A 12311-nucleotide genomic window follows, 5' to 3' on the forward strand; every position below is an offset into this window, starting at 1 on the left:
TATAATTTTTGCCAAATTTAAGGTAATTTTAATAACAATCTCAGTCATATTGACATCTGAAAAAAAATTAGCTAGAAAAATAAAACTCTGTGAAATTCATCTGGAAGAATTCCAGGTAATTTTAAACTCCAGGATATTGGAAAATGAGTTACATGGGAGAGCTAATTCTGTAATATATGAACTATGTTTTAACACCATACTGGTTAAAACTAGTTCTGCTGTTGGCTTAAGAATAGATAGGCAGTTAGCAAGACCACAACTGAAATACAAACTCTGGTCTGTATTTCATGTTTACATATATACTAAAATAAGTGGTATATCCAAGATTTTTCAATAAATAATTTTGAAATGAAGTTTATGTTAAAAAATCGGATTGTTTTCATGTCACACCATGCAACAGAATAAATTTCAAGTGGTTGATTATGAAACAAAAAAATATTAATCATAAAATGTGGAAAATTTTATTAGCTATAGAAAGAAGACAAGGTTGACTATATAAGCAAATTTAAATTAAAAACAGATGAAGACAGTACAATAGAATATGCAAAACAGTAGAAACACTAAACAACAGATTAGTGAATATTTTGCAGTATGTATGATATATAAGTAATGATATTAAAAGATAAAGAATTCATAAAATAATATATTTACAAAATAAAACTCCAGTAGAAATAATGAGCAGCAAACAAGCAAAGGCAAATTACATACACACAAGCAGAAATTAAAAATGTCTTATAATTACTCATAGAAAAACAATTAACCTTACTTCAAATCAGATATTTAAATACATAAAAAGGAAATATTTCTCAGGTATCAGTGTCCTTTATAGATAGATAGATAGATAGATAGATAGATAGATAGATAGATAGATAGATAACTTCTGGCAAGGGCAATGTAATTTATAAGCTGTACAACAATGATAAGATGTGAATGGGTGAGACTTTCTGTAAGACAATCTGGCAATGCTTATTACTAGTTTCAGGTATGTTTATACTCTTTAACTCAAGAGTTCCATTTTAAGTTTTGAAAAAGACTCATGGGAATCTATCTTAATGAAATAATCATAAATGTGGATAAAAACTACCCATAAAGTACCAAAAGTATGGATGTTTATAATAGCAAAAGAGTTAAATATAAAATAATGGTACAGAAATAGTGAAATCATGAAATAATATTAGCAGCATCTTATCATGGAAATTTAAGTATCATTAAAATGGTTTCCTGAAAAAAGTACTCAAGATATTATACTTGAATTTAAAATTGAGTTTACTACAAAATTGTGGCCTTTGTATTAGTTCAATTATAAGAAAAAGTTGCACTTAAAATGAACTGCAATTAATATACTCAGTTAACAATCGATGCCCTTCTTTCCTTTGCTACTTTTGTTCCTTTCTCCTCTTCATTTTTCTTGACTAGACTATAGTTCACAAACTCCATCTAATCCATTAACAAATCTTACTTCTATCTTCAAAAGATATCCAGAATCAACCACTTCCCACCATATCAGCTGCTACTGTATCACACATCTGAGCTGAAATTAACTCTTACCTGTATTATGACAATAGCTTCTTAATGTTTTCATTCTTTCACCCTTGTCCTCACAGCACTGATGACTGACCATAAGTAAGGTTCTATGTTTCCCCTTAACCGAACAATCAAATGGCTTCCCATGGCACTTGCAATAGAAGTCAAATTCCATACAGTGATCTAAAGGGTCCAGTGAAATTTCCTCACTTCTCTAATGACATATTCTACTGATTTCTTATTTCAACCTTCTTTTGATTTCTTATCTATAATGAGTCTGTTCTTCATGGAACATCCTTCCTTAACATCTCTATAGGCTCTTTTCAGCACTTTCATCAGGTGTTAACAGTTCCTTGCCTGACAAGTACCATTCTGTATTCCCCTTATCTTGTTTCTCACCATTTATTTATACATTCCTCACCCTTTTGCACATTCAATTGTTTTGTTTGCTGGTTTATTTTTTTTTTCATGCTAGAATATAAGCTCTCTGAGGGCTATAAATCCTAGACCTAGTGGAGCATATTGCTTAGATTTTTTGCTCAATAATTATTTGTTGAATGCATGAATCAATATATCTCACATGACATGTTAGTATACAATACAAGCCAAAAAACATTAGTGCAAAAATTCTGCAGGGTGAAGCAGAGCTTAACAAGCAATAATAATTGTGATATAGCTCATATCATTCTAGGGTAAATAATAAAATGCTTATGAAGCAATAAACACATAAAGGCATTCAAAACATTTACACCTAAGAACATATTTTGCATGGGTTCCAAAAGTCTATATGATAACTACTCTTTCAGATTCTCAGACATGTACCAGTTGCTCTTTATTTTTCTTATCAACTTATGATGAAGACATTGAACTCTATAAGGATTATTTCTAGTCTATCAAAAATAAACACCACTTCTCAAAATATAACTTTAGTGATAGCATTAAAAATGCTTTAAAAATGCAATATAACCACTTTATTTAAAAATGCCATTATACTTCAAATATTTCCAGTTCTTAATACCAGATATATTTCCAGATGTTGTTCCATGTTCAATATAATTTTGTTTTTTCCTCAAATCTTTTGTAGAGTGCATCTTTATTATAAGTATATGTTTGAGAATCAAATTATTTTAGACCTAATATAATCTGCCAATCTTAAATCAATAGTTTATAATGGCAAAATCAAAATTTTAGATACACAGTTACATATTGACAAATAATTGATACATTGTGCAGCATTGAGTCCTTCTATTTTCTTTTTCTTTTTTTTTTTTGAGACGGAGTCGGAGTCTCTCTCTGTCGCCCAGGCTGGAGTGCCGTGGCGCCATCTCGGCTGACTGCAAGCTCCGCCTCCTGGGTTCACGCCATTCTTCTGCCTCAGCCTCCCAAGTAGCTGGGACTATAGGCGCCTGCCACCACGCCGGGCTAATTTTTTGTATTTTTTTTAGTAGAGACTGGGTTTCACCGTGTTTGCCAGGATGGTCTCGATTTCCTGACCTCGTGATCCACCCGCTTCGGCCTCCTAAAGTGCTGGGATTACAGGCGTGATCCCCTGCGCCTGGCGAGTCCTTCTGTTTTCAACATGTGTGAACATAAGTCATATTAGAAGAAAAACCTCTTGGTGAATATACTTTTGATTTTACTAAATCCTATTTCTTGAATCATCTGATTCGGGTGCAATCTTTATTTTCCTAAAAAGTCTAGCAGTTTTTTAGGTACATGCATAAAAGAGTAAAAGGCTCCTTTCTTTTACCTATAACCATTCCTTACACATTCCACATGGTTACTGGTCAGTCCTTTAGGACCGGTGCTATTCAATCATCTTAATAAATCTACACTATTATTATATTAGTTTCTTTGAAATAGCTATATTTAGGTTACCTCAGGTAAAAAAGATTCAAAGTAAAGAAACACTGGATTATAAAAGAGGTATGAAAACTATCTTGCAAAACTTAATGAAAAACAGCATCCAGTATCAATTAGAATCTAATAGGAATTCCAGTAGTTAGATAGCAGCTCCGGTAACTAAGTAGATTTGCCAGTTGTCCTTGAAGAATCCATTTCAACAGGTGTAACTGAGATGCAAAAAACATTCCAAATGTTAGGGTATATTAAGGTCTTATACTGTGTCCAGATTCTGAAGGGCTGTGTATCATTTACTTACTGATGCATAAAAAAATCACCCTAAAACTTAGTGGTTTAAACCACAAGATTCTATTACTGTATATGAGTCTTTGTCTAATCTAGATGGTCCTGCTGTTCTAGGTGGTTTTGCTCATCTGGGCTGAGCTTGCCTGACCTTGGCTGGGCTCACATATGCAAGTGTGGTCAGATGATAAGTTGGTAGGGACTCCCTGGTCTAGGATAGCCTCACTCATATGTTTAATGTGAGGTCTGCTTTCAACTGGGTCAATGGAAATGACTCATCATCTAATAAGTTTATTCATATGATGATGTCAGGATACAGAAAGATCAAAAGCATGCAAAGTCTCTCTTGAGGCCTGGATTTGGAATTGACAAACTGTTACTTTTAGAGCTTTCTACCTAACAAAGCAAATCCCTAGGTGGAGAAAAAGAGCTAAAAAAATTTTCTTGAGAAAAAGAGCTAAAAAAATCACATTACAAAAGGTATGAAGATAAGGAGGATGAAGCCTTGTCGCCCTTTAGTAATCTATCACAGAGAAGAAATGACAGATTATGATTTGGGGAATGAATGAGTAATGAAAAGTTGTTTCATCTTTCTGTATGCAGAAGGACACACAATTAAACTATGAGATTAACCTGTGGGCAATAAAAAATGGATTGGAAGTGGGAATAATAAACTGAAGGTGAGAACAGTAATGATTGTATCTTTCTATATATTTAAATGGTAATAAGGACTTGAATTCAGTTCAAATGTAAAGGAATGGAAAAGCTGATTTGTAAATGTAGAATTGACCAAAGCATGAGACTTCCAAATGAGAAGAGAAGAATAAAACCATTGTTCTTCTAAGTTCTCACACTTTATAACTGGATACAGACTACTGCCAAAATCCAAATATGAAATTGAAAAAGAAAGGATATAATTTTGAATAAAATTTCATATGACTGAATATGATCATTTGGCATTTTATTTATTTAGCTCATGGAAAAGGTGTAATTCCTGCTGGAAATTACCATAATTAGTTAGTAACATAAGACTGTAATTCTTTTACAAGACGTACAATCCTTTCAAAAACTTTATGTTGCTCCCATCTCCTCCTCTTAGGTGCTTTTTCTTTGCATGAGAAAATCCATTCCTTCTATTCATGAGCTTTTCAATCAGATCAATATTCTTCATTATATGCTCCTGAGAACTCTCAAAATTGAATTATCGTCTGGAGTGAATTTGTATAACTTTGAACTCATGGACTGAGAAAGGGCAAAAATATTTTCCAAATCTATACGTATTTTCCCTCCTTAGAATTTCTGCTTCCTTCAATTTATCAATAACTGCTTCCAGAGCCGATACAACTTCTTATTTATAAGTCTGTGTTCCCTTAGCAAACACTGTATCTTGTCTATTTCATTATTTATGTCATAGAATTAAGAGGGCAAATAAGTATCCTTTCCTCAAATTACCTTATGTTCTTACATCATTTGCATGTTCTTTTCTTAAAGAGTTCTAATTTCAGTCTTCAAGTATCTGCTCATATCTGAAAATAATATTGTTCATTTATTGAACTCTTTCTAGTACAAGGATGTTTTGGGTTGAATTGTGGATCCACAAAATTCATATGTTGAACTCCTAAACCTCTGGACCGAAGAATGCCACCTTTTTTGGAAATAGGGTTGTTGCAGATGTAATCAGTTAAGATGAGTTCACTAGGATGAGATGTAATATAACATGACTGGTGTCCTTATAAGGAGGGAAAATTTGGATAGAGGCATGGACATGGTGAGAATATCACATAAAGATGAAGGCAGAGATCTACAAACCAAAGATCACCAAAGAGCTCCAGTAAATCAATGGAAACTAGGGAAGAGGAATGCAGTCGATACTCAGAAGGAAGTCTCTTCAAGATTGCAACATAAAAACTATGCTTGAGTTTTAGCGTGATAAGATTACAATATCATCTCTTACCTCAATATCCAGCCTGGTGACCTACTGTGTAGATTTTGAACTTGCCAGCTCCACTGCCAATTCCTTAAAATAAATATTCAATTTCTTAAAATAAATATCTTCTCTAGACAGTGTGAAAGAAAAATAAATCTTGGGGCCCCAAAATCACTAAGCTGAAGGGAAAAGTCAAGCTGGGAACTGCTTAGGGCAAACCTGTCTCCCGTTCTATACAAAGTCATCCCTCTGATAGCTGTGATAGATGCATATCTGATTGCCTCATGTGGAGAGGCTAATCAGAAACTCAAAAGAATGCAACCATTTGTTTCTTATCTACCTATGACCTGGAATCCCTCTCTCTATTTCAAGTTGTTCTGCCTTCACCTTGAGTTGTCCCACCTTTCCAGACTGAACCAATATGCATCTTACACATATTGATTGATGTCTCATGTCTCCCTAAAATGCGTAAAACCAAGCTTTGTCCCGACAACCTTGGGCACATAGGCAGAACCTCCTGAGTCTGTGTCACAGCATATGCCCTCAACCTTGGCAAAATAAACTTTTTTTTTTTTTTTTTTGAGACAGAGTTTCACTCTTGTTGCCCAGGCTGGAGTGCAGTGGCGCGATCTCGGCTTACTGCAATCTCCGCCTCCCAGGTTCAAGCGATTCTCCTGCCTCAGCCTCCCGAGCAGCTGGGACTACAGGTGCCTGCCACCATGCCCAGCTAATTTTTTGTATGTTTAGTAGAGACGGGATTTCACCATGTTGGGCAGGCTGGTCTCAAACTCCTGACCTCAGTTGATCTGCCTGCCTCGGCCTCCCAAAGTGCTGGAATTACAGGTGTACTGTGCCCAGCCGGCAAAATAAACTTTTGAAATTAACTGAGACCTGTCTCAGATTTTGAGGGTTCACATTTTGGTTACAATGAAGGGATTCTGAGTGGAGATGCCCCTGACCTTTGACAAATCTCCTATTGGTGCTTGGTACCAGCATGAGCTGATTTAATGGCTCAAACCAATAGGACAATTTGCTGAGGTCTGGGAGCACCCCCTCCAGAGAATCCCTGATCTCCCGAAATTTGGTCAAGATCTAAAGTTTATTTTGCTGTACAACTCACCCCCCTCCCCTCTAACTTTTTTTTTTTTTTTTTTTTTGGAGTTTACTTGCTTTCAACAAGAAAGGCAAGATTTCCTGTTTCCATAATGATGGAAGGCAGGTAATTCCTTTATGGAGTTTGAGCTTGCTCACAGCAGGAAAGATGAGTTCAAGTTTTTTTTTTTTTCCTTCTTCTAGGATGGTAGAAAGCAATCTTCAGCCTGAGACCCATTCCTAGGTAAGTAGCTGAATTGAGTTTTTTTTCTTGGTTAAAGTATAACAATCAACTGGTCTTAATTTCTCCTTACCATTAGAGCACTCAGTGATCATATGGCTGGGTTTTTGTTATTGTTTTTGTTGTTTGTTCCAGTCTTTTCCCCATCAGATTTGACCAACTCTACCTGACTTGGTCAAATCTGAGAATTCCAAATTATGGGTAACAAAACCTTTCTAATTTGGCTAAAATTCCTTGCAGCTGCAAAAGAGCAAGAAAACACAGCAACAACAAAAACAAAACCATGTCCTTGGTTTCTCTGTTTGCTTCCTGTCTTAAAAAAAAAGGTTCTTTCATTTACTTTTTTTCCACCCCATATCTCCTTTCCCTTTTGCCATCTGCTGTACCAAAAAATCTAGAGACGGCTTCTAATGACTTGAACCTCTTTAAAGAATTCAGAACAAAGGTGCCATTCACCCATTGGGGTGTTCTGTTTCCTCTGTGGAGTTTCAAGAGTCATGGGGAGATTCTTCTTAGGTCTAAACCTCTGTTTTCCTACATTGAATAATCTGGGCTCTTTGACTTTGGGGGTACCAGAGATTACTTAATACTGTGAGAGGATTTGACCTTGGCACTTGTAATGGCAGATGAGAGCTACAAAGTAGGGGTGGTTGTGCATAGTTTACAGAAATTGGTCTTAGCTGTTTTTTTTTTTCTCTCCTAGGAAGTTGTTGTTTAAGGATCCTAATTCTAGTTCTGAGATGCATTCTAAAGAGTCATCTCTATCGCTTTTTTCTCCCAAAATTAATCTCCATTTGGCTTGTCTGTGCACATTTCTATGAGCAACTGAACTGTTGTTTGCATAGGTCAATGAGAGACTGAGTTTTCTCAGCTCAAAAGAAATAGGCATATCTTTCTCCCAGCTGAAAGGTGCCCCTGGGTGACCAGGGGCCTCGTGGGAGTGTCTGGGGGGTTGATCCCTGTGACATGCAGCTGCCCTACAGGGAAATCCCAAAAAAAAATTAATTAAAAAAAGGCTTATCCAGGAAATGCATATAAAGGCTGATCACCTGGCATTTTGAGTCCTCTCAGAGATTATAGACCTCTGGAGAGAGAAATTGAGACACACAAGAGGGTGGAAACAACTCAGTGGTGATGCAATGTGGAGTCCTGCCCACAAAGAGCATACATCCACCCACCACACAAAAACCCTAGGCCACAACTCAGTTCCTCCTTTTTTTAAAAAAGTGGGAAACAAATAATCTAAGAATGAGGAGAAAACAAGGATAATGACAACCTTTTGAGCACTCCGTAGGTTTTATGGCACTTCTACTTGCCAGAGTTTATGTAAAATAGAAGTAATATAGTCTTTGTGCACATTTATTTTAAGGAAAAAGAGCCCTAAGGTCAGCCAGCAAACTATAGAGTTCCTGAGTTCTCCTTTTCTCTATTTTCTCTTCTGCCTGCTTTAAATCTGCTGTTATTTTTCTATTAATATAAAAACCACTGTTGGGATTCAACAGGTTATTTTTGCAAGCTGCTGAATTTTATATTTATCTCATGGCTAAAGTTCTGAAGTAAAAGCTATAGGAACTTCGTGTGTGTGTATATGTGTGTGTGTATATATTTAAAAGACTTTTATAATTTCTATAATTTTATGTTTAATTGACAACTCCATTTTAATTTTTCTTTAGCACACAGGACTTTTTCTCTCCATACTCTATGATGTAAATTTTGCTATTTGATTTTCACCTGAGTTGTTTCCTTTAATATGCAAATTTAAGGCTATTTAGCTAACAACTACCTAGGGTAATAAAACAGGTTGTCAAGAATTTGAAAGTTTAAGGTAGGAAAAAACAGGAGTTTTATGAATCTATAAGATGTACTTCTATCCACATGCCTAATACGTCTATGTATTTATGTGTTGTGTACACAGTGTTTCACTACTGATATATATAAAAAAGCTTTCATTAATTGGCTTAAGAAAATAAAAGCACTTGAATTAAATACTTTATCAGAAAAAAAACTGGTCATATGTTTTTTCATGCTTTCATTTTAATTCAATTATGTAAACTTAAGTAAATGCTTAACTTTTACTTAAGTTTATGTAACTTAAGTAAAATCTGTAATAAATAAGCCAGCATTAACATTATTGGTAAAGTAATATTAGAAATGTCTTAAGAATTGAAAACATACATTTTTGTTTGCACTTATTAATCAAGCAATTTTATACTTATCCTGCCAAATACTATAAAGTATCAAAATTTGGCATAGGGGTTAAAAACACAGAATAATCTTTGCTTGTGTAATCTTTAATAAATAAACATTAATATTAGTTTAATGAAAATAGCTACCTCTTGAATTTAGTTTAGATTACCATAACTTCTAATCTTGTGGGTGGTTTAGTCCATAAGCAGCAAGGTTTGTTTTGGAAAGGGATTGTTATTGTCTCTGTCCCAAAGCTAAACAATAAATTAAGTTCCTCCCAAAGTTAATTTTTCCTGTGCCCAGGAATGAACGAGGACAGCTTGGAGGTTAGAAGCAAGATGGAATCAGTTATGTCATATCTTCTTTACTGTCTGTTACAATTTTGCAATGGCCGTTCCATAACTTTAAACAATGACTATTGCAGTTTTCATAAATAATCTAGGTAAATGACTAAAAAAATAATTAGGCAAATGTAATGGGATAAATACATGTAGAAAAACTTGTCAGAATCTATAATCTAAAGTTATATTAAGCTAAATAATAGATATCTCATTATTTGGGCACTTTCCAATAAAAATGTATTTGTAGGAAAACATATTTTCTTAAACAAAGTGTGTCCTTTTAAAAGAGGTGAATAATTATTGTCTAATTCAAAGCTTATTTAAAGGTTATATATAAAACAAGGTAAAAGGAATGAGGATATAACAGGGTTGTAAAGAAAGTTATAAAAATAAAGTTTTTTTGTAAGAAAACTTAAAGGGAAATAATTTTATATGTGATAGAATCTGCTATGGTAGATTTAGTCCTAGAATAAAATGACTGGTTATTTAAGAAAGAGGGATGGTCAGAAAAAATTAGAAAATCCAAGCAGATCATGAACAATCTGTGAAAGTCATAGTAAAGTAAGAGGATTAAAAAAGAAAAAGCACAAAAACTTTTATATGATCAAGCTATTAATTAAAGGAAAATTATAATGGTCTTCCTAGAGATTGGGCTTGACGTAGGAAAAAACCATATAGAATAAATAATTGGTTAAAACAATAAAGTTTTCTTAAGGGAATGATTTACTCCTAATAAAATATGAGAGGTTTTAATTTTTTTAACCCAAAGTTTAACTTTTATTGCATCTCACCATTTTCTGTTTTCTCACCCATTTTAAACGGCACAAAATAGTAACACGGTCCTTCAACTCATTTTCAACTTATTAAGATTTTTTTCTTTGAGTCCTGTTTAATGTGTCCTAGTGCTAACAATGTTTTCTTAAAGTTCTAAAGGAAATGTTTACTTTCAACATAATATTTTGTGCAGAGCAGAAGGTCATTTCTTTTGTCTTTTGGTACCTGGCCTAGCAGATTTTACGTTTTATAGAAATATTTTCTCTGTCATTATTACTAAATTTTGGTTTGCTTAGGAAAAAAACTGTGATTGATATTTTTTAATTAAGGTTATTACATCCATGTGTCTTTCAGTATTTGCTTTCAAAGTACTTGTGACATTGAGATACAGGGCTTTGACTCCTAGGTCTAAAAAGGACACCAAGTCCTGCTAAATCTTAAACATTGACAGCAATTAAAACCTCATCTTCAGGCCGGGTAGAAATCCCAAACCAAATAAACTGTGTTCCTGAGACATAGGGCCAGAATTTAAAGGTATTCAACTCCTCAAGTCCCAGGAAATATCGCAGAAGAGATGGGTGTGTGAGATTGTGAGGGCAGACTTTGAGAGATAAAATAAATGCAGTTTCTCTATAAATTAATTATTAATGTCAAAGGCACATTGATGCAAGACCAGCATATGGGCCCTTATGTTAAGAAAACCTTAAGTTTTCCTTGAAGCATTAACTGACTCCTTAATAAAGGTTATAAAAGTTATTAAAGGTTTATGGAAGTTATATCTTATGGTCAAGATTAAAATTTTGTAGATTGTTTATAAAATTTTGAAAAACAAATTTATTTGGCTTTATGTTGTTTTTATTAGGGTTTATTGTTTAGAAAATTAAGTCTCTTCTCTCAAAGAATAAAAGTTATCAGCTTTTTAAAAAAATCCTTGTGTTATCACTTTGGTCAAATGAATGACTTATTTTACAATGACCTGTAATATCAACTGTTTTAAATGTTTGATAATTTTCCAAAATCAAATTATAAATTATATCTTCTCCTGGCCTAATTAATTCTTTAAGATATTGGTTTCCCTAAAGCCCAAAAATGACATAATTTGGCTTATTTAATATGAAAATCATATAGAAAACATTGTTAAATATGAAATAGTGTTTGCTTTTCTTTGGGCTGTATTTGTGTAAATATGTTATTGGTATTTGCTCCAAAATTATGAAAAACTCCTATAATTCTGATATCACTTAGTGTACATTATCAGTAGTAATTATAATTGTTATCTTAAATTATTGTGTGTCACAGAGGAAACAAATTTGTCACTTATGTCCTTGACTATGGCTGCCCTAAAATATTTTGTCATCCATGGACAATTGTTGTCTTGTTTTGCTCCTCTTTAGAAGGCAGTTTTATGACTTTTTAACGATTGCCATTCTAACTGGTGTGAGATGGTATCTCATTGTGGTTTTAATTTGCATTTCTCTGATGGCCAGTGATGATGAGCATTTTTTCATGTGTCTTTTGGCTGCATAAATGTCTTCTTTTGAGAAGTGTCTGATCATATCCTTCGCCCACTTTTTGATGGGGTTGTTTGTTTTTTTTCTTGTAAATTTGTTTGAGTTCATTGTAGATTCTGGATATTAGCCCTTTGTCAGATGAGTAGATTGCAACAATTTTCTCCCATTCTGTAGGTTGCCTGTTCACTCTGATGGTAGTTTCTTTTGCTGTGCAGAAGCTCTTTAGTTTAATTCAATCCCATTTGTCAATTTTGGCTTTTGTTGCCATTGCTTTTGGTGTTTTAGACATGAAGTCCTTGCCCGTGCCTGTGTCCTGAATGGTATTGCCTAGGTTTTCTTCTAGGGTTTTTATGGTTTTAGGTCTAACATTTAACTCTTTGATCCACCTTGAATTAATTTTCGTATAAGGTGTAAGGAAGGGATCCAGTTTCAGCTTTCTGCATATGGCTAGCCAGTTTTCCCAGCACCATTTATTAAATAGGGAATCCTTTCCCCATTTCTTGTTTTTGTCAGGTTTGTCAGAGATCAGATAGTTGTAGATATGCAGCATTATTTCTGAGGGCTATGTT

At 34.1% G+C, this 12311-nt stretch overlaps 1 long non-coding RNA gene across 1 annotated transcript in view; it reads left to right on the forward strand.

Moving 5' to 3' along the window:
- The first annotated feature begins 2888 nt into the window (after positions 1-2888).
- The window catches only part of LINC02444 (long intergenic non-protein coding RNA 2444), a 49128-nt gene continuing 39705 nt past the window's right edge, over positions 2889-12311 (forward strand). The window contains exons 1-2 of the long non-coding RNA NR_110130.1: positions 2889-3142; positions 6893-6932. This is a non-coding gene — a long non-coding RNA (long intergenic non-protein coding RNA 2444). The remainder of the gene's footprint in view (positions 3143-6892; positions 6933-12311) is intronic.

Source organism: Homo sapiens, chromosome 12 (assembly GCF_000001405.40).
Source record: "Homo sapiens chromosome 12, GRCh38.p14 Primary Assembly".
NCBI lineage: Eukaryota > Metazoa > Chordata > Mammalia > Primates > Hominidae > Homo > Homo sapiens.